The following is a 22,670-nucleotide window of genomic DNA, read 5'->3' on the forward strand; positions in this document are numbered from 1 at the left end:
CAAAACAAACAAACAAACAAACAAAAAAACAATAAAAAGAACTGAAGGGTAGTCCTTGCCAGCGGCAGGATGGAGAAGGAAATGGATACCAGGTTTCTTTTGGGGGTAATGGATACCAGGTTTCTTTTGGGGGTGATGAAAGTGTGCTGGAATTAGAGAGTGGTGAAGATTGCACAGCTTCAGAATGTTCTAAAAACCACTTTAAAGGGTAAACTTTATGCCACGAGAATTTCTTGAAAGGATTCAGATTTATGTGAATGGGACATGAGCACATGTCGTAAATGGAATATATGCATTTCATCACTTTCTACTTAGAAAACAGAAGGTAAGGTTCCAGAATAGCTAGTTAGTTCTACTGGTTAGAATGCCATGCTAACAACGTTAAGCTCATCACACTGTTCCTGCCTCGACCAGGCAATTCTGCTCTTTGTTTTCAGGCACAGATTGCACTTGTAATGCTGATTGGCCATCTTGTAAATTCATGCAATTGTTATAGGGCATCCAAGTGGGAGAGTACGGGTACTCAGTGCAAACCCATCGCCACTACTGGAAAATCTACTCATGCTCTACTGACAGCAGATCGACAAAATCACCTCACACAGAGAATGCAGAATCAATCTTTCAGTTATGCTTACAATGAAGACTCATTCATCCGTTCCTCAGAACACTGAGGGAAAGCTCTAGATTGCTACAAGGGGGGGAAATCCTTCAAGTATATCTGTGAATGGCTGTGCCTATGTAGCTACAAATGAACAGTAATTGAAGGATTAATGGAGATCTTAGTGCGATCTTAACTTCAAATTACTTGTAAGCATCAACTTTTAAACTAAATTTAATGTGAAATCATCATGTGAGGAAAACAAAATAATTATTTTTGATTTAGTGGAATTTCTAGACATAATTACTATGTAACAAGAGATTTCCTTCTCAGGGCTTCTCTAACCGGGCTAGGAGAAAGATTTTTAAGCTGCTACCTACTCACTTATCTTGAGTAGATAAACAGCAATTCTGTGATCTTCTTCAGCTGATGGGGCTGCTTCAGGGGATGTATCATACTTTATTCTCCTTTGTATCCAGATCCCTTAATAAATTGCTTAGCTTATAGGAAGTCTTCAAAAGTAGTTTGAGAATCAGTGAAATATATTTCATATGAAACTCAAAAAAATGATTTCAAGGATTTTTCTACAGCATCTGCAGAGATTTTTAAGAATAGGTCTTTCTTGGCTGGGCACTGTGGCCCATGCCTATAATCCCAGCATTCTGGGAGGCTGAGGCGGACAGATCACCTGAGGTCAGGAGTTTGAGACCAGCCTGGCCAACATGGTAAAACCCTGTCTCTACCAAAAATACAAAAATTAGCCAGGCGTGGTAGCAGGCACCTGTAACCCCAGGGCTGTAATCCCAGCTACTTGGGAGGCTGAGGCAGGAGAATCGCTTGAACCTGGGAGGTGGAGGTTGCAGTGAGACTCTGTCTCAAAAAAAAAAAAAAAAAAAAAAAAAAAAAAAAAAAAAAAGCATAGTTTTTTCTCAAATCAGCCACAGGGCTTGCTTTCACTTCTGTGTAGTTCAGTAGCCACCTCATCTTTTTAACTCTGTCTGGATACTAATTTTACATAAAAGCTTTACTATTTTGTCCACTTTCAAAACTTTACGGAAATATTGCTGATGAACCAATACTATTGTGAGGTTCAAAGATGCAAGATTCAGAGCACTTTTGCCATGTAGGAATCTTTTCCTTTATCCAAGTTCATTGAAGTGTCCAAGAACAGACACAATGCACATTGACTGTGGTCCCACTGAGGATGCCATTTCTCCTTGGGTGCCAAATCCAGAACTCAGTTTTGTTTTGGTCCATTATGCTAATCAGTCTTCTGTCATTTCTGATTAGTGTGAGTACCTTCAGCCACTTGATTTAAACTGAGCCACCACCTGGCTCCACTTTCTTGGCTCTATTGACAAACTTTATCATCTTTTCAATTTCCATGGAGCCCTGAACATTGTCTGCACTCAAGAACTAGATTGTATTTCTCTGATCTAATGATACTAATGGGATGGTCATATTACAAGGTCGTAAAAATGCTGAAACTGTCCCCACCCGTTGACCCACTTGCAGGCCATTTCTGTTCTAAGGTGTCTTCTGTAGCTCAGAGCCACAACCCGTACACATTTCTAGAAGAAATCATGACAAATGTCGGAGAGAGCGCACAGATCCACTCTAGTTCTTCTGCTTTCCTGAGTTCGTCAGGCAATCCACCACACTCTACATATATATCAGCTACTCTAGGGATACCAAAATCGTATTGTTGCTAAATTCTGTGATTTGGGATTCAACTCACATTGCAATGAATTCTAAGACAACAGATTATTTGTAGACAGAGATCATAAAATGTTTCTAAAGTTTAGGGGGTTTGTTTGTTTTTTAGAGATGGGGTCTTTCTCCATCGCCCAGGCTGGAGTGTTATGGCATGATCATAGCTAACTGCAGCCTCGACCTCCTGGACTCAAGCAATCCTCCCACCTCAGCCTCCAGGGTAGCTGGGACTTATAAGTACATGCCACCACGCCTGACTAAAATGTTTCTAAAGTTTGATATTAATGGCTAAAAGAACCTAAATTATTGATCAATTTTCATATTATTTTAATCCTGACACAAAAAAGAAATCAAACAATCATGTTTGTTGATTTGGGGTTTTGGGGGGGTTTTTTGAGACATGGTCTCACTCCATTGCCCAGGCTGGAGTGCAGTGGCACAATCACAGCTCACTGCAGCCTCGACTTCCCAGACTCAGAGGATTCTCTCATCTCAGCCTCCTGAGTAGCTGAGACTACAGGTGCCTGCCACCATGTCCACCTATTTTTTTGTATTTTTTTTTAGTAGAGACAGGGTTTCACCACGTTGCCCAGGTTGGTCTCGAACTCCTGGGCTCAAGCAATCCACCTGCCTCAGCCTCCCAAAGTGCCGAGATTATAGGTGTGAGACACTATGCCTGGCAGTTTTGGGGTCTTTTAAACAACTTTCCTTTGGACAATTTTCTGCCCACTTTGAAAGCCTTTGGTTGGCCAGCCCTGCCCAACTCGGCTCACTCTGCACCATCCTTCCACTGCACCCCTGCTAGGGCCAGGCTCATGTCTGCACTGTCCCAACCACAGCAAGAACCTCCTGTGTCTGGGCCTCTGATCCTATGGCTATCATTCTCTGAAACAGTCTACCTTCCTCCTCTCTTTCAAGGGCTAGTCTAAGTCTCACCTTATCCAAGAATTATCCTGACTCCTCTATTTTACTTCAACCTTTCACTCTTCCAAGTTATACTTTTACATTTAACACCTAACTGTAAACTCCCCTACATTAGTATTGATTTCCTACTTAGACTGCAAGCTCAAGTGAAAATTCTATTGTGTACCTAGCATAGTGCCAAATAGACAGTTAGAACTCAACACTATTGCATAAGTCATTCCAATGGTTTTAGCGCTGGAAGGGACCTTGGAGATCACTTAGTCCTACCCTTCATTTTGTATATGAGGAACCTGCAGCCCACAATTTATTCCTTGATCTATTTACAAATAAATTATCATTATTCATTAATTTGCATTTACTGTAGCAACCAAACTGTGGTTTCCACCAGGATTTAGTAAGTACAGGTTGCAAAGAACAGCAGGTCAGGCAAACAAGTAACATTCTGTTATGTGAAACACAGGAAACAAACCTACCTGCAGCTCCAACTGAGCAGGCAGCATTAGAGGAGAGAAAAATAGTTACATTACCAATTGGATTGGAAGACTTCCCTTCAGTTGGTCATTACCAATCTGGATAGAAAAGATGAAAAAATACATAGCCCTACTTTTTAGAATGTGTGAGAGAAAAAAAAACAAAATAGCTCAACTAAGACTGACCTCCAAAAGCCAGATACATATGGCTTTCGCTTTGACACAAGGAACCTTGCACCAAAACCAGTAACCCTGCTCATTCAAAAATGCAAGTACAATTACGGCTGGACTGTGTTTGTGCATCCACAACTTCACTGCATGTGTGGGCTTCGGTTTTTTTTTTTCCTTCCAAAAAAAAAAAAAAAATCTAGCAAGGGTTTCTCTGGACTTAGTAAAAAAAATCAGAATGGCCAAAGCAGAAAATATAGTAATTGAGCAAGAGAAAGAAGTGCAGATTAGGAACTAAAGGAGAAGGATGGATGGGATATTACTTCATAGCTTGTTTTCCTTGCTGGCCTGTATTTCTGTATGTTGATATACTCTTGTGAAATAATATACAGTGAGCTGAGAGTTTCATATGTTTCGATTACAGGGCTCTCATAAAGGCTGTTTAGCCTCAGTTCTTAGAGCCCTTCAAAGCTATCATATGACTACAAATGTTTAAATGTGTTTTTACATGAAGGCATGGACTAGACTATTTTTCAAGGTCCCTTCTAGCCTAGAGGCAAATAAGAAGACCAAAAGAAACATACGCTGAACGATCATGCATGTAGAAATTGTAAAGCCTGGGAAGTTATACAAAATGTCTCTTTCATCTACTGGAAAGTACCAATATGTCTTTATGCACTCAGCTGCCATAAACATGGGTTGTAAGTCATTGGTTTTTATCAGCACAGACACTTATCCCACAAAGCCATATTGTTTTCCACACGAATCCCCTGCAGTTCCTAACTCAGAGTCAAATGCTATTTGTGAAATAATAAGAGAAAACGCATCTGAACTGCAAGTCAGGAAAGCCCTGCAGCCGCATGGTCTGAGGCCAAGACACAGGTCCCGTGACTCAGACACTGACTAACTCTCGAACTGACAGCTTTGGCTCAAGCTATCCGCAGGTGTGTGAACTGTACCTGCCATATCAACTTGGACACAGGTCACTTTACATTGATGAGTAATGACATTTGCCATTCTCCCCTGGGAAGCTGTAGATAAGCACATTTAGTTACCCAAAATCAACTTGAGAGCTATGATTAGGCACAAATTAGCCTGGTTTAAAATATAAATGATTATTATAACTAAATGTACTTATTTCTCCACTTCCAATCTGTGAATTGAGGGATGCAGAGAGCTAGTCCAGGAGCTGCCAACCTCTAGGCCTCTGTGTCGTCACTAAATTGGTCAAATCTAGGACCAGCCATGCCAGCCTGCCATGGGACACAGAGACATTGAGAAATAGTGAACACTTTCTTTCAAAATAAGGGGATCGAGCATGTGACAGGCTAGATGCAAGATTTCAGAGAGGAAGGTGAATAGGTTAGAAAACCACCAGAGAGCTGGTGGTGGGAGGAAGATGAGCGGCTGGTGCCAGGAGCCGCCGGCTTTCCCCACTTACTCGGATGCGCTTGGCTCTGCGCATGTCGTCGGCTGTCAGCGTGCTCTGGGTGGGCACCACGCTCTCTTCATGCTGCGGCTGCAGGTGCAGGGTGTGAGTTTCTGGTTCATGTTCCAGGGAAGACTGGGTTTCCTGTGGCAGCTGAGGGATTGGGATAGTGGTCTGTTCTGGTTGATCCAGCCCATTCAGAGTGGCTGGTTCAGCCTCATCAAATTGCTCCTTTGTGGGAAAATGTAGCAAGTCCTGAAATTTGCAATAACCAGGAATAGAGATCAGTGCCGGAGGGACTGTCAGCTCAGATTTAGAATTGCTGCTTATTTCAGAATGACTAGATTCATAATACTCAGAAAAAATATTCTCCCTCTGGGAAAGTTAATTAGGTAACTATGCACAGAAGGCAAAAGCAGGAGAGGTTCCACACCACTTAACAAGGAAAAGACTGTGATCTGACTTTTCTGGAATATCAATAATTTTAATTGTTTAAACTAATTAAACAAAGTCCACCTCTACTAACTCTGGTCAATTTTATTTATTTATTTATTTTTATTTTATTTTATTTTATTTTTTTTTTGAGACGGAGTCTCGCTCTGTCCCCAGGCTGGAGTGCAGTGGCGCGATCTCGACTCACTGCAAGCTCCGCCTCCCGGTTCACGCCATTCTCCTGCCTCCGCCTCCCGAGTAGCTGGGATTGCAGGCGCCCGCCACTGCACCCAGCTAATTTTTTTTGTATTTTTAGTAGAGACGGGGTTTCACCGTGTTAGCCAGGATGGTCTCGATCTCCTGACCTCGTGATCCGCCCACCTCGGCCTCCCAAAGCGCTGGGATTACAGGCATGAGCCACTGCGCCTGGCCAAGTCCGGTCAATTTTAAATCTTTAGAGCAGCAAAGTTGGGTTTTTGTTGTAGGTAACACTTGAAAATACATTCTTTTCTGGCATTATCCAATCATTCTTTAATTAACAGGCAGCAAGGTCTGATAGGAAAGGTCTACAAACATTGGGAAGGTCTTTGTACTTAGGTCTCGTCAGGGATCTGGCGAGTCCTCCACACAAGCACCTAAGGAGGGCTCCTTCCCGTCCCCCCGTACCTGTGTCCCATCGTCACTCTTTTCCCCATTTTCGCTGGTGATTTCCAGGCGGATAAATTTTGGAGGACGCCCCGGCCGTCGACCTGGACCGAATCGCCTCTTGCCTCGTCCCCTTCCTCTGCCTCTTGTTCTGGGGACAAGAGATTGGGTTACAGGTCGTCATGGTTACATAATACTCCATAACAAGTAGCGACCTAAATGATCCTTACTAACCCCAGAGTTTGATTCCTCTCACCTTATTACTTTCCCAGATTTTCTCCAATAGAAACAACTGTTTTACTAATATACACTTTCTGAATGTCTCATCCTTCCCCTCTATTACAGCTTAAAGATATGTCTTCAATTATTCTGAAGAAAAGAGCTATAAAAATTCAAAGCACTGACAATATTTTGCTTCTGAAATGATGTGAGAAAGGCAGACAGGACAGAACATGCTAAGCCTTTGAGCGTGTTCCCAGGAGATGTCATCTGAGACAAGATTCCCATTATTTCTCTCTTTTTCCCCTGGCCTCGCCTCATATTCCTTCCAAGAAATGTGGCCAAATTCAAACAACTTTCTTGTTTTACTACAAGCTTCTGGAAGGTCAGAACAAATTTCTAATTCAATTGTTTCATAACATGCCTAGTAAACATCAATTAACTTTTGCATCCCCTTTAATGGACTTTTTTTTTTTCTCTTTTTGAGGCTAGGTCTTGCTCTGCTACCCAGGCTGGAGTGCAGTGATGTAATCATGGCTCACTGTGGCCTCAACCACCTGGGCTCAAGCGATCCTCCCACCTCAGCGTCCCAAGTAGCTGGGACTACAGGCATGTGGCACCACGCCCAGCTAATTTTATTTAATTTTTTGTAGAGATGGGGTTTCACCGTGTTGCCTGGGCTGGTCTGGAACTCAAGCAATCCTCCCTCTTGGGCCTCCCAAAGTGCGGGGATTACAGGCATGAGCCACCATGCCTGGCATGAATTGCCAACAAACACAAATTCCTTAATAAAAGAGGCTTAAAAAAGTAGGTTATGAAAGCTTCTTTTAGAAGATATGTATGTGGGAAGTGTACAATGTCAATCAGATCAAATTTTATTCTTCCACTCATCCATTTAATAATTTAACAAATACTATATATTTTTTCCAGGAACTTTTAAAAGACTCTTCATGTTGGAAAATTCTGAACCTAGGTGAATGTAGAGACTAGCACGATGAGCCCAATGTACCCATAACCCAATTCCAACATTTTTCAAACCATGGCCAACATTTTCCATCTATATCCCCACCACTTGCCCACACACATACCCAGTAGATGACTTGGAAGCAAATCCCAGATATCTTTTCATCTCTAGATATCTTGGCATGTCTCTCTGAATCATAAGAACTCTTTATATATATATGACCACAATACCATTATCACACCTGAGAAATATCTGAGAGTTGCTGAGTATTATTATATCTAGTCAAAGTTCAAATCTTCCTAGTTGTCCCAGGTTTCTCTTAACAGTTGGCTAACAAACATATTACCTACTGTGTATCACATACTGGGCTAGGCACTAAGGACATCAGATTACAGGCAACAGATTTTACCCTCAGGGGTCTAGAAAAGGGAGCTGGCATATAAACCAAAAATCACAATATAATATAAAAAATGCTACAATAGAGCCATGAACAGAGTTTTGGAGATTCCCAGGAGTGACTCAAATCTCACTGTGTCCACCCCCTCCTTAGACATTTACCCCTGTGGTCACATTCTAGACCCTGTCACCCTTGTAAGCCTCTTCATGCCAATCCCATGCACTGCCCACTCGGACACTACCCTGGCTCTGTAGTTTACTCCCTCTAGTACCCAGCACTCAGCAACCCTTCAGCCACGCGAGCATCTCCAGTTCAATCCTTCCGGTGCTTTCGTGCAGCTCTGCATCACTGCCTTGATGTTCTCTCCCCTTCTTCCACAGCATACGCTCCAAGGTCATCCACTGGAACCACTCCCTCGTGCGTGCTCTCAGTTCCCATCCCATGGCTGCTCTGTTTTCTCAATGTGTGTTATGAGCACTTGGCAAAGCCACAACCCTGTGTAATTCAATTCCCTGCCTGCTCTGCACCAGCATCCCTGCAGCTGAATGAAGCTGGAGAAAACGCACAGCCATGCTAGTGGGCTCACTTTCATTTCATAACCATGAACCCCAAGTGGGCATTTAATAGAGTGGGCAATTGTATGGTACTTCCCTAGAACATTCGCTTTCCCACTTACCCAACTACCATCTCACACATCTCCTCTCTTTCCAAACCCTAGAAAAGCTGGCAACCCTACATCTGTCCCCCTGGCATGAGCCTACTCCAAACCACCCTCATTCCTCCCCCAAACTATTGTGATAGATGCTAACAGGACTCCTTGTCTTCACTCTTACTCTAATATAAGCTAGTGATTATTTTTTTCCAGGTGTTATTTTTATCCAAAATGGTTTTCAAAAAAAAAATACAATCAACATCACAATACTCCCCGACCAAAACCCTCTAAAGACTTCTCATCACACTTGGAATAAAATCTAAATTTCTTACCATTTCCCATAAGGCCCTACCTGATCTGGCCCCTGCCCACTTCATCCCATATGATTCTCCCCTCATCTGTCTTTTTTATATAGTGGAATTAAACATATGACTTGGTTTGATTAAGTAATTGTACTGCTGAAAAAAGTCTGAAAATCAGAGATGCAGATTATTTTAAAGGTATGTCCTATCTCAAAAATTCCTATTTCGGAATCTCCAATTAAGGGAGATTTACCTAAGGTGAAAGCATCTCCCATTGCTGGGTATTGGTTATGCTGGAAAAGATGGATAATAGTAAATGAGGAGCAGAGGGAAAAGGAGATGACAGGTAACACCGTTCCCTCAGTAGCCCACCTGGTTACCTATCTATACATGACACTCGGAGACACTCATTAGCTAGTGGACAATATAGAAATGATTCTGAACCTTTATGAACTCAGTCTGTGAGCATTTCTCCCTCATACATACCTGCTAAACACATCTAGTTTCTCATCATGAGAATTGAGATGCTGTTGCAACTGCTCCGAGCTTATAAATCGGCGGTTACATTCATAGCAGGGCCAATTCTTCTCTTGCTCTCGAAGAACTACAGTCACAGGAGAGAAATCATAAAGGCTGATGACCAATAGACACCAGTAAAACTCAAAAGTCTGCGATCCCCACCATTCTTATCTTGCTGCAGCCCAAAGAGTTCATAACTATATAGTATCTGCTATTTGCATTACTGTTCTATCAAATCAAAAGCTAAAATTTGGCAGAGAGTTGCTTTTTAGGATCTTATTTTCTAATGCATCCATACAAGACATCAAAGGAACAAGTACCCTCACATCACCCTCTCACAGTCCTCAAAACACACACACAACTTCACCACACCGAAAACACATAAGATGTTACAAAGATCTGTGTTCAGATAACCTAGCGATTCAGACCCAGGTTTCCTAATCTGAGGGTATATTTTAGCACAAATAACTTAAAAGTCAATGCCCAGTATAATTAGTTTAGCAAAATGTTCAGAAGCATCCCCTAAGTTGAATATAGGCATATCCATGACCCAGCAACTCCACTCCTACATACATACCCAACAGAAATGTGCACATATGTTCACTAAAAGACATATAAGAATGCTCACAGCAGCACTCTTCAAAATAGCCAAAAACTAGAAACAATCTCATCATGTAATAAGGAATCTTCCTGGTCTTTGTCCCTAGTTGGTAACCTTTAAGTCACTGGAATTTCCTGAGTAACAGGAGTGTCTTTGTTATTCACGGTGTCCCACCTCACAAACATACCCAAATTTATTCTAATGAGATGCTTCAGAGCAGGGACAGGCCATGCAGGAAAGCTCAACCTTGTAATTAGAAATGTGGGGCTTTGAGCCAGGGGTTATCAGCCTGACCTCATGGAAGGAGGGAGAGAAGGGGGAGCTGGCAGTCAAGCTTGATCACCCGGCCAATCATTGAATCAGTCATGCCTACGTAATGATGTCTCAATAAAAATGCTGGACACTGAAGCTCGGGTGAGCTTCTATGGTTGGGAATCATACATCAATGTACCAGGAGGGTGGTATGTCCTGAGGACATTTTGGGGCCTCCCAGACCTCACCATATGCATCTCTTCATTTGGCTGGCCCTAATATATAAAAATCATACATTTTTATATATTAGCTATATAGATCTATATATTATAATAAATATAAAAGATTATAACAAAATGGCCACCGTTAAGAATAGTCCTTTTTCGGCCGGGTGCAGTGGCTCACGCCTATAATCCCAGCACTTTGGGAGGCCGAGGCAGGCAGATCATGAAGTCAGGAGATCGAGACCATCCTGGCTAACACAGTGAAACCCTGTCTCTACCAAAAATACAAAAAATTAGCCAGGCATGGTGGAGGGCGCCTGTAGTCCCAGCTACTCGGGAGGCTGAGGCAGGAGAATGGCGTGAGCCCGGGAGGTGGAGCTTGCAGTGAGCCGAGATCACGCCACTGCACTCCAGCCTCGGTGACAGAGCAAGACTCCATTTCAAAAAAAAAAAAGAATAGTGCTTTTCCGAGTTCTGTGAGTCATTCTTGTGAATTATCAAACCTGAGGAGCTACTGGGAACCTCCTAACCTGTAGCTAGTTGGTCTGGGGCTTGGGAGCTCCAGAGCCTCCAGCTGGTGTCTGAAGTCAGGGGTGTCTTGACCACCCTGAGCCTGTGAAACTTGACCTAACTCTGGATAGTTAGTGTCAGAATTGCATTTCACAACCAAATCTACAGTAAAATGGATACATCAACTGTTTTACATTCATACACTAGAATACCAAATGAGAATAAATAAATTGTATACACAAATGTGGATGAATCTCACAAATACCATGTTGAGCAAAAGATGCCCAGGCACAAAAAGTGTACATATCATATAATTCTATTATGCACAATTTGTTAACAAGCATATCTTATGTGTGGTACTAGAAGTCAGGAGAGAGTTACGCTTGGGAGTGAGTAGGAATTAGAAGGCAGCACAAAGAAACTTCTAGGGCACAGTAACGCTGTTTCTTGATCTGGGTGCAGGTTACATGGGTGTGTTCACTTTGTGAAAATTTAAGCCATATACTTATGATGTGTGCAGCTTTCTGTATGTAGATTATACTTCAGTGACATTTGCATTAAAAACAAAGCCAATGCCTGCCTTGGTATATCCTCAGAGATGATAAAATCTGGATAGGAATCGTCCTCTGATCTAGGTTCTAATTTGGTATTTGGAAGTCTTCATTATATTAAATATTATTTTCCAGCACACATGAAAGAAATGTAAATGTCATTGTAGTTTGACACTGAATTAGATGGAGATGTGTGTCTCTAAAAAACCTACTGGAATAACTTCTGAAATATACTGAGACAAAAAAAAAATTAGAGGTTTCATAAAGATGTGATATATACAATTTAGAATTCATATAGAAAATGTAAAACATAAACGTCTAACCACCTTTCCTTTCTTCCTCAGAAATGTCATGAATTTTCTGGTTCACGAACTCAGCATAGGATGCGGCATACCACACCTGCAAGAAGCAAGTATATCATCAAGAACTGGGGACATCACCAGATGTTCTTTGCATGCTTAAATTATTTCTCCTGCTTACAGGAAACAATTCAGGCTTTTCCACAGCCCATTAACAATGGAAAAAAAGATCATGCTGTGAGCTCCCCTTGCAATACCTTTCCAGCAGATCAGTCAGGAAGTTCATTTGCCAAGACGCACTGCCTGTTTTCTTTTTCAGAAAATGGTTTCTGTTACTAGAATAACTTCACAAGAATTATAATCATAGTCTCTTCAACTAAATAAAACAGCCTCCCCTGATTTCTTATCTATATTTAAACACTGGTTTTTACAGGGTTGTAGTCATAGTGGTTGCCACCAAACAGCCCTTACTGGGGTCACCAATGACACCTTCCAAGGCAACCACCTTCTCCCGCCCACCCACTGGCTACTTCTGCTCACTCTGTTGGCCTCTTTTTTTTTTCTCCCTAACTTCTAAATATTGGTGTGGCTCAAAGCTTAGTCAGAGTGTAGGGACTTCTTATTTTGACCTCAGGTGGCCACATTCATTTCCAACCAACTCTATGCTAATGAATCCCAAATTAATATCTCCATCCCAGACTCTCTCTGTTCCCTCTGAGTGTGTTTGACTGGATGTTTTAGATGTCTCACAAACAGATCAAACTCAGCATGTCCAGAATGGAATTCTCAATGCTTTCCAACTCACACCTCCACCCATCTTCCCCATCTTGATGAATACCTTCCACCCAGTTGCTCAGACTTGAAACCTGAAAGGTGCCTTTGATTCCTCCGCTTGCTTCTATATGCCTTTAGCAAGGACTACCGCTCCCTCGATTGTTCTCCATCCCCGCTTTTGCCACCCTGATGCATGCCAAGACCATTTCTTGCCTGGATGGCCACTTGGCCTTCTGACTGGCCTCTCCTTTTCTCTGCAATTTACACAGTAGCCAGAGTGGTCTCCTCAAATCCCAGTTACCCCAGTTGGATCATTACACATCATATACAGGCATCAAAATATCACGTGTATCCCAAAAATATGTACAACTAACATGTATCAATAAAAAGAACACACAATCAGATCTTGTCATGCAGGCAACGGCTTCTCGTCTCATAGTAAACCTGAAATGTTTGTGATAATCTCCAAAGGGCTCCACAATCTCCCCAACCTGGAAAAGCAAACTCAGCCCTTGTCAGTCTCCCTGACCCACGCTTCAGTCAACAGGGCCTGCTTTCAACTGCTCAAACATGCCAAGTGCTTCACCATCCCAAGTCTTCAGCCCTGCTGTTTCACCCCCACAAGTGCTGGGCTCTTTGCCCTCACCCCTGCCCTAACCCTCTGTAGTGCTGGCCCCATTCCATAGTTCTCAGCCTCAGTAGAGCCTCGTCAGCAGGGCCTTCCCCAACCATCACATCAAAATCGGTCCCTTTCTTGTTACCTGCTCTTCCTGCACCATCTGTTTCCTTCATGGAACTTACCCCATGAGTTATTATTTGCTTGTTTACATCTTTCTGTCCATGTCTGCTCTAGAATACAGGTTCCCTGAACATAGGGAGCTGGTCTATGTTTTCTAGGGTCTCAAACACAGTAAGAGTTCAATATATCAATTACCAAATGAATTAATCATATATGATTTTTACGGATTATTTTAAATATATGGAAATATTTATAAAGACATTTTATTTTTTACTGTGGAATAATAGTCTACATAGTCTGTATTCTATAATTTAATTAACTACGCCCCTGTAGTTGCACTTTTAGATGGATTATCATTTTACTATTATAAATCCTACCCTGATCAATTCCAAGGTGTATTTTTAAATATTTTCACAGGTCAGAAGTCAGGATGTGTTTCACACTCTAGGGCCTTCTACAGTCATGGCCACGATGGAGCTCTTGCTACCTGCTCACTGCTCCTGCACAAACCTGGTCAAGCTCTTTGTACTGTTCTCACCTCATTCAGCTGTAAGCCCACTGACACCCCATGAGTGAACACGTGCCAAGCAATGCAAATGAAGGCCAAAAAGATCTGCCATTTCCTTCAGAACAAACACAAGAAATCTGAAAGCCATGCAAGGCTGGCGTGCATCCTGCAGGGCTTCTCAGTAAGGCATCAGCTGTCAGAAACTTCCTACAGGCTTGATCCAAAGCCTCTCCACTTCAAGGATACGTGAGTCAATTGAGGAAAAAGACACAGATGAGTTCAATCAAATGGGAAAGCACAGTATCAAAACTTGCAGGAAGGTGATCAGTGGCTTGAGGGAACATCCCAGGGGCAACAGCAGAACACTTATTTTTAAAATATTGCAGCTGCTTCACATTCTCAATGGCACAGAAGATGACAGCACACAGAAAGGCACAAACATCCACAATGAAGTCAAACAGTGATGCAGGAAAAAGAATTCAGGCTCTGCACACAAAGTGGTTTATACCTCAACCAATTTATTTTGCTTCAGTGTGTCTTTTTATGAATGCACAAGTATGATGTAATTTTAAAATTATGTCAAAATAAGTCTAAAATAGCTCCTTCTAACCATTTTTTATTTTTAAAAAGCACTGTAATAGGTAGCTTTTTTTCTTAATGGTGCATAAAATAATAGTGCATCCTAAAATCATTGGTATCAGGGTCAGTGAAATACAGTAGAGTCTAGTACTGTCTTCTTTTTATAACTATTTCCTCTGATTAACATTCAATGATTAGATTTACTCAGCCAAGAATATTTTTGCTATATACTTCCAGAAATGTTTTATGAAATGCAATTCTACAATTGACATTCCTATTTTTTCAACATTCACATTCATTGTACTGTATCCATTTATTTTTGCTAATTTAAATATAAATAGTAGCTCATAGTTATTTTGACGGTTTTAAAAATTATTAATGTTGAAAAATTTTTTTAACTTTTTAAAGTTCCAGGGTATATGTGCAGGATGTGCAGATTTGTTACATAGGTAAACATGTGCCATGGTGATTTGCTGGACCTATCAACACATCATGTAGGTATTAAGCCCAGAATGCATTTGCTATTTTCTGTTTTAAAACTTTTTTTTACTATTTGTTTCCTCCTCCAGATAAAGTCAATTCCTGACATTTGTTCATTTGTCCATCTGGGTGCAGTGAGGTCTGTCAGTTTTGAAAGTTGAACCTTTTAATGTGTATTACAAATATTTCCCCCTTTCTGTTGTTTCCTTTTTGTTTTATGGTTGTTCATTAGACTGAACTGTTATATTCTTATTTGTTTCTCTCCAACTTTATAGTTCTATCTACTGGTTTAAAAGAGAAAATCTGCCCTTCACAGTTAAAAAATATTCACCTCAGTTTTTTTTCTAATCAGGAATTTATTGGCATACATGGTATGAGATAGGAATCTCCTTTTACATGTTTTCTTTGGGGTTTATGGATTCTCTAGCTGATGGTTTCAAAAACAGAGGTTCTGCATACCTTTTGAACAAAATCCAGGATTCTTTCTCCCTCAAAAGAGGTATCCATTTCTAATTTGTACCATATGGAGGCACTGTGCAATTCAGTGTTTGTGTACTTATATGATCATTTCTTGCCTATTTTTCATTTATATCAGGAAGCTAAAGAGTATTTTGATCCCCTCTTTTGGCATGTTCTTAATATAAGCTTTATTTTAAAAAAGGAATTTTCATTTAGAATCATAGCAAAATTTTATTATGTCATCAAGAATTATTATTTAGATAAATTTCAATAGTTATTACCCCAAAATATATTTATGAAATCAGAAGTCGGCACATAGGATCCTTTGAGTAAAACATTCATACAAAGAAAAAAATCTTGCCCATACATCTAAACATCTGTTTCCCAACTATGGAGTGTGTAAATGAAGTTAACCGACATCTTTAATCACTCCGTCACAGATATACACGCGTTCCTGTCAATGGTTTGACTTACAAGTTTTTGACATGACGATGGTGTGAGAGTGAGATGCGTTCAAGTAGAAATCGTCTGAGTGCCCATACAGCCATTCTGCTTTTCACTTTCAGTACAGTATTCAATACATGACATGAGATAGTCAATACTTTCTTATAAAATAGGCACGGTGTTAGATAATTTTGCCCAACTGTAGGTTAATGCAAGTGTTCTGATCACATTTAAGGCAGGCCAGGCTGAGGTATGATATTCGTAGGTTGAGTGTATTAAGTACATTTTCAGTTTACAATATTTTCAGTTACACTGGGGCTTATTGGGATCTAACTCCATCATAGGTAGAGGAGCATCTGTACTGGTCTACTCCCCAAAACTACCACCTCCTTACCCCTGGACCTCATGCTTTCACGTTGGCTCTGCGCAATCTCCTGGTTCAAGCGATTCTCCTGCCTCAGCTTCACAAGTAGCTGGGATTACAGGCACCCGCCACCATGCTCGGCTAATTTTTGTATTTTTAGTAGAAATGGGGTTTTGCCATGTTGACCAGGCTGGTCTTGAACTCCAGACCTGAAGTGATCCAACTGTCTCAGCCTCCTGAAGTGCTGGGATTACAAGTGTGAGCCACCATGCCCGGCTTCACATAGGCCCTTTGATTAGCATAAAAGCCATATACTTTTCATTCTATTTACAGGATTATGACAGTGTGTACTACATGGTAGCTACTCAATAAGTATGTGAATAACCAGAAAATGACCCCCCTCCCCCTTTTTTGTTAAACAAACCCACTTTAGGAAAATAAAATTGCAAAAAGCCCTAAACAATCACTCTTGCTAGCAAATAGCAGCACGGGTCAGGCAGCACTGTACCTTCAGTTCCTGCTTGGGCTCCACATTTTTTATGGTTGTATAATACACATGGTGGCCATACTGGTAAGCCACCAGGTTCTGCTCCAGGTGATTCTGGGCTGGCCGTACAAACATCATCCAGTTACAAAGCGTCTCATCAGACAACTCAAACCATAGGTCTTCATGTAAATCCCTTTCTTTCCTGTCCCCTTTATCAAGAGAAACCTGCACGAAAAAAAAGCCACACCAAAAACAAAACAAAACCTTCAATATGAGACACATTTTATAATGTCACAATACGCAAAATATTGCTTCTAAAATTAACTATACATCCTGGCTCTTTCCTTTGTATCTGCAAAAATCCTAGACCTATGACTTGCCAAATGTCAAAGGGAAAAGATACTTTCTGAAGCCTCAACTGTAGGAAAATTAGCTGGCAAAATCTAAAAGTTCATCTAATTGCATAGCTTTAGTTAATATTTCACAAAACATGATAAAAATGCTATAAATATGCCAGAAAATGCAAGCAAAATACTCTCTAGCTCATTACAATTTGCCTCCTTTTGGGGTTTCATTGCATTCATTTATAATAGGCAGCCCAGGGATAGGCATTTCTCTTTACAAAGTAATATTCTTGCTAGGAGATTTTGAGAACACAAAGAAAATCTCCCCATGACAGCAGATGACTTGTCAAAAAACACATCCCAAATATTCACCCCTTCCCACTGCCCTTTCCTAGTTCTCTGGAGTGGTTATCCACAAAGCAAGTAGTAGAGAGGGCTGGGCAGAAACAAAAGGGTCAGCTGTAAAGAGATGACTATAAACATACTTCACCATACAGGGAGCTATTCTTTAACCAGAGTCTACAGGTCAGACCTGTTTCAAAACTACAAAGTGGTTTTCTTGCAAACATTACTGGCACACAGCAGATTACATTAAGCCTACATAATTCTCTTTGCATTCCAGTCAAAATTATTTTAAATAAAGAAAGCAAGCCCCTGTTATAGGCTGAACTGTGTCTTTCTCAAAATCCATGTTGAAGTTCTAACACCCAGTACCTCAGACTGTGACTGCATTTGGAGACAGGACTTTTAAAGGGGTAATTAAGTTAAAATGAGGTCATTAGGGTGGGCCCTAATCCAACAGGACTGGTCCTTATAAGAAGGGAAGATGGGCCAGGAGAGGTGGCTCATGCCTGTAATCCTAGCACTTTGAGAGCCCAAGGCAGGAAGATCACTTGAGCTCAGGAGTTCAAGATCAACCTGGGCAACATGGCAAGACCCTGTATCCATAAAAAATACAAAAATTAGCCAGATGCGGTGGCTCATGCCTGTAATCCCAGCACTTTGGAAGGCTGAGGTGGGTGGATCACGAGGTCAAGAGATCAAGACCATCCTGGCTAACATGGTGAAACCTCCTCTCTACTAAAAACACAAAAATTAGCTGGGCGTGATGGCAGGCACCTGTAGTCCCAGCTACTCGGGAGGCTGAGGCAGGAGAATCGCTTGAACCTGGAGGCAGGGGGTGCAGTGAGCTGAGATTGCACCACTGCACTTCAGCCTGGCAACAGAGCGAGGCTCCATCTCAAAAAATAAATAAAATAAAATACAAACATTATAAATAAATAAGAAGGGGCGATTAGGACGTGGACACATGCAAGCACCGAGGAAAGACCCTGTGAGGACAGTGAGAAGGTGGCTTTCTGCAAGCCAAGGAGAGAGGCCTCAGAGGAAACCAACCCTGCCAACGCCATGATCTCAAACTTCCAGCTTCCGGAACAGTGAGAAACTAAATGTCTGTTGTTTGAGCCTCCCAGTCTGTGGTATTTTACTACGGCAACCCTAGAAAACTACCGTAGCCCCCCAGAATAATTCATATAACGCCTTCAGGCACTAAAATTGCAATCTCGGCCGGGCGCGGTGGCTCACGCCTGTAATCCCAGCACTTTGGGAGGCCAAGGCGGGCAGATCACGAGGTCAGGAGATCGAGACCACGGTGAAACCCCGTCTCTACTAAAAATACAAAAAGAAATTAGCCGGGCGTGGTGGCGGGCGCCTGTAGTCCCAGCTACTCGGGAGGCTGAGGCAGGAGAATGGCGTGAACCCGGAAGGCGGAGCTTGCAGTGAGCCGAGATCGCGCCACTGCACTCCAGCCTGGGCGACAGAGCAAGACTCCGTCTCAAAAAAAAAAAAAAAAATTGCAATCTCCATCTTATTAGTGAGTTTCCATTTAACCAAGTTAAGATAGAAAGAAGAATACTAGCAAACAACTGCTAAGAAACAGGAATAAGAGACTGAGTAGACAACGCAGTGCTCCTTCAAACACTGGTAAAGGACAGGAGTGAAGTGTGATAGAGCATAAATTACCTTGAGGTGAATGTAACAGTCTTTCAGCTCCGAGCCCCTGACGAGAGGCCCCTCCACGGGGCCAAACTGGGTGCGCTTGGGGATGCGCCGCTTGGAGAACACCCCGCCCAGAAACCTGTCTATGTAGAGCACCAGGGGGAGGCTCGCCCTGGCCCGGGTGAGCACCGGCCGGTTGGGGATCGGGTGCAAGGGGCCGTGCTTCGGACACACTGAAGCATGCGCGTTATTGCACTCCTCACACCCTGCAAAAGAGAGACAGTCTTGAAGAAAAGTCCAATTCCTCAGTGTGACTTGATGTGAGGTAAAAAATTCTGACCCGAAAAATCCCCGTCTGCATTTTCAAGCCAAAATTCAATGAACTCCTAATGGCGCTACCCATTCAACGGTAATACATTCTCTCTGGGAGACCAGTAAAAATCCTGTAATTCTCCTCTAAAATCAGACAGAATTTGCTTATGCCTGCCAAAAACAACTAGCAGGCCATGACTGACTTCTTTGCTGGAGAGTCCTTTGAATAGTGGCCACTAAATTTACAAATCAATTACAACATGTCTGAAGAGTAAAAAGAGCGTATCAGGCTAAATGTTGCACTATCTGATGAGACAAAATAGGTGAATTTTATAGTATGCCCATTATCTCAATAAAACTATTCCGGGGCCGGGGAGGAACCCTGACAATACTATTGAATCAATTTTCTCAAAGGGAGTTACAGAAGTCTTATATCTCAGCCTAACTCAAACGGAAAAAGGGTTGTGCGGTCTGAGAGTTCAGTGCATACTGTCTGATTAGATAATGCTAAAATGAACAAATTTAGAATCCCTTCCTTCATTCACTGGGATGACACAACATTTTCCGCCCATTCCAAGAGCACTCGGTTTGCACCAGTCCGGCCACACGCCCTGCCTCTTTGCCAGGAGCACCCACCTGTAAGCTAACCGCCAGAACGAGACAGGTACAGCCCCAAAACGGAGGAGAGCAAATGGACCACACAGGCCATGCCCACAACCCTTAACACACTTAACATGCTTTACCTTACTCCAGCTGCATGGTGACCTGGTTTAGGAAATAGTTATTTTTAATTTCTACAATTCTCAAATAACAGAGCTACTTTGTATTAATATTTTAAAGATAAAGTGATTTTCTGTGCATTTGACTTAGGAGTTGCCTCAAAAATGTAAGAATTTTTCCCAGGTGCAGTGGCTCAGCCTGTAATCCCAGCACTTTGGGAGGCTGAGGTGGGCGGATCACTTGAGGTCAGGAGTTCGAGACCAGTCTCGCCAACATGGTGAAACTCCATCTCTACTAAAAATACAAAAAAAAAAAATTAGCTGGGCGTGGTGGTGCACATCTGTAGTCCCAACTACTCTACTCCGGAGGCTGAGGCTTGAGAATTGCTTGAACCTGGGAGGCAGAGGGCTGCAGTGAACCGAGCTTGAACCACTGCACTCCAGCTTGGGAGACAGACCAAGACCCTGTCTCAAAATTAAAGAAAAAAAAACAAAAACAAACAAAAAGAAAAGAAAAGAAAACGTATGAATTCAAGGAAAACCAAAACGAGCAAGTTCTCTGTTGAACTGGGATTAGATGTGGAGCTTGAACACTGGGCCCAAGCAGACAGATTTTACCACCACCACACAGAAGGACCAGGAGAAACAGGATGAAACCACAAAGCTCTGAAGAGCCTCAGTAATGCAAATCAATGAGTAAGCACTTTGCCACATAAGCAAGAAAATCCACAGAAAGAAACTGATGGTTTCTTGGTGGTGGAATGTGAACCCCCAGCAAGCAGTAGGGTGGGGTGGCTGATCAAGGGCGCTGCCGAGGGGCCAGACTGCCTGAACTGGAGTCCTGACCCTCAAATTATTGGCACAGCCCTGGGAAAGCTACCCACCTCATGGTAGGGCCATGGAGGGCATAAAGGAGGTAGTAGACTCAGGGCACTCACGCCTGGGATAGAACAGCATTCTTAAAAGGCTATCATGGAAGAGGCAAAGCAGCAAGGCAAACTTGTTAAAGCTGAAGTGGCTGAAGAGCGCAGGATCGGGCAAATCTACCATGGTGGTTTGGTAGCTGAAGCTCTGGTGTGAGAGACCTGGGCTTGGCTGCCTGATGCCCCTTCGTCCCTGTGTGACCCCCAGCGAGCTTCCCAATCTTCTGAGCTTGTTTACTCATCAGTAAATCAGAAAACGAAGGAGAGTGTCCCTCAAAGGGCTGCAGTGAAGGCCAGGTGGGATGAAGCAAGCAGAGAATGTAGCACAGTTGGCTGCACACGGAAGGACCTGACGCACGGGAGCTATGTTCACACACACGCACACGTACACAGACACACAAGATGGACACAGCTTCCCTGGGGGAGACCCGTGCCCACACTTACACAAGTCGTGTGGGTCGAAGGGCCGGGGCGGGTCTGGCTCCCAGTCATCCAGATCCGTGTCCTCACCGTCTTCTTCCTCATCTTCCTCAGTGTCCTCGTCCTCATCCTCATCCTCTTCCTCTTTGGCCTCCAGTCTGCCTAGAGGGGTCTGCAGAGTTGCCAAAGGGTCGGACCCATCTACACTCTCGATGGAAGGCAGCACCTGGTTATGAACTGGCAATGAGGCCTGGGCAAAAGTTGAAGGCACAGAGTAAGCAGACATGGACACCTGCTTTTGGTTCGCTGGTGCCTGCTGGCACAAACAGGGCGCAAGGGCTGGCTGAAATCTAGTCTTCCTACCAACTCCTTCCAGGCCCTGGAAAAATGACTTCCATCTACCGGCTGTGAGGAAGAGCTGGCTTCATTTTTGATCTGACTGCTCACAGCCTTTAAGCCTCTGCCCTCCCTCTGCCCCTTCTGTCCCACACCTGGGAGGGCTGCTAAGAAGGCTCAGGTGCTCCCTCCTTTGGCAGCAGTGGGAGAGTCAACACTGGCAAGGCCCTGACCACCTGCGTCCTGACCCCACCCCTAAAACTTAATAAAACCTGGTCTCTTCCTGGCTCATTCAGCCGTTTCACACTGCTTGAGAGGCCTGCCCTGTCTCCCAAGACTTCAAATAGGTAAGCAACAGACCGTTTCGATGTGTGCACATGTGAGGTATCATCAGTTTCCACATCTGAACTAAACCTGGGGTGGGGGTCCCTCTTGCCTTTCCAGAGTAGCCATACCACACTGGAGGGGGTAAATGAGTTGACCTATCCTCAACCACTTGTCTTTTAAAACTAAACACGTCGTGCAACACATGGTTAACAAAGTTCCATAGCTCACAGCTCTCCTTTTAAACAGCTCAGGCAGGCTGAGGTTTTTAAGTAAGAATGAAAGAGATGAGGTGCCTGTTTGTTTCATCATGCTGAAGTCAGTCTCCTGCAAATAAGACACAGTTTGGGTCATGTATTAGGTTAATGCTATCTTATCAAATATCCTGGCAGAAAATAAAAATGGTACCTTAAAAAGTTCTCCTGCCTCCAATCTAAGTGTTATGGGATTATACACTGGCCTAGAATCCCTTTATGCAATCTTGCTCCTCCTGCCCAATTAGCACAAGGTCATACTCAAGCCATGTCCTATTCAATAAATAAAGCAAGTTTTTAAAAATGCCACTCCCTTTATCTTCTCATATGTTGTTTT

General features: G+C 42.7%; 1 protein-coding gene across 17 annotated transcripts in view, besides 2 other annotated features; it reads right to left on the reverse strand.

Moving 5' to 3' along the window:
- Nucleotides 1–22,670, reverse strand: part of PRDM10 (PR/SET domain 10) — a 103,125-nt gene that overhangs the window by 25,991 nt on the left and 54,464 nt on the right. For 8 of the 17 annotated variants that reach the window (NM_001367891.1, NM_001367894.1, NM_001367890.1 and 5 more), the window contains 7 exons: nt 21,444–21,669; nt 19,070–19,311; nt 16,725–16,928; nt 11,897–11,969; nt 9,400–9,517; nt 6,401–6,530; nt 5,315–5,557 (listed from right to left, as the gene is read on the reverse strand). In NM_001367891.1, coding sequence (NP_001354820.1) covers nt 5,315–5,557; nt 6,401–6,530; nt 9,400–9,517; nt 11,897–11,969; nt 16,725–16,928; nt 19,070–19,311; nt 21,444–21,669 — 1,236 coding nt within the window. Of the gene's footprint in view, nt 1–3,708; nt 3,721–5,314; nt 5,558–6,400; nt 6,531–9,399; nt 9,518–11,896; nt 11,970–16,724; nt 16,929–19,069; nt 19,312–21,443; nt 21,884–22,670 lie in introns of those variants that run through there. The other 9 variants (XM_047427311.1, NM_001367893.1, NM_020228.3 and 6 more) reach the window with 4 other exon arrangements.
- Nucleotides 235–736: an enhancer, noted in NCBI's record as "NANOG hESC enhancer chr11:129795831-129796332 (GRCh37/hg19 assembly coordinates)". NCBI's record gives its function as "activates a minimal SCP1, AML or CMV promoter by ChIP-STARR-seq in primed H9 embryonic stem cells {active_cell/tissue: H9 hESC(primed)}" and the evidence as "EXISTENCE:reporter gene assay evidence [ECO:0000049][PMID:30033119]".
- Nucleotides 10,685–11,398: an enhancer, noted in NCBI's record as "H3K27ac-H3K4me1 hESC enhancer chr11:129806281-129806994 (GRCh37/hg19 assembly coordinates)". NCBI's record gives its function as "activates a minimal SCP1, AML or CMV promoter by ChIP-STARR-seq in primed H9 embryonic stem cells {active_cell/tissue: H9 hESC(primed)}" and the evidence as "EXISTENCE:reporter gene assay evidence [ECO:0000049][PMID:30033119]".

The sequence above is a fragment of the Homo sapiens genome, chromosome 11 (genome assembly GCF_000001405.40).
Source record: "Homo sapiens chromosome 11, GRCh38.p14 Primary Assembly".
In the NCBI taxonomy this organism is placed as follows: domain Eukaryota; kingdom Metazoa; phylum Chordata; class Mammalia; order Primates; family Hominidae; genus Homo; species Homo sapiens.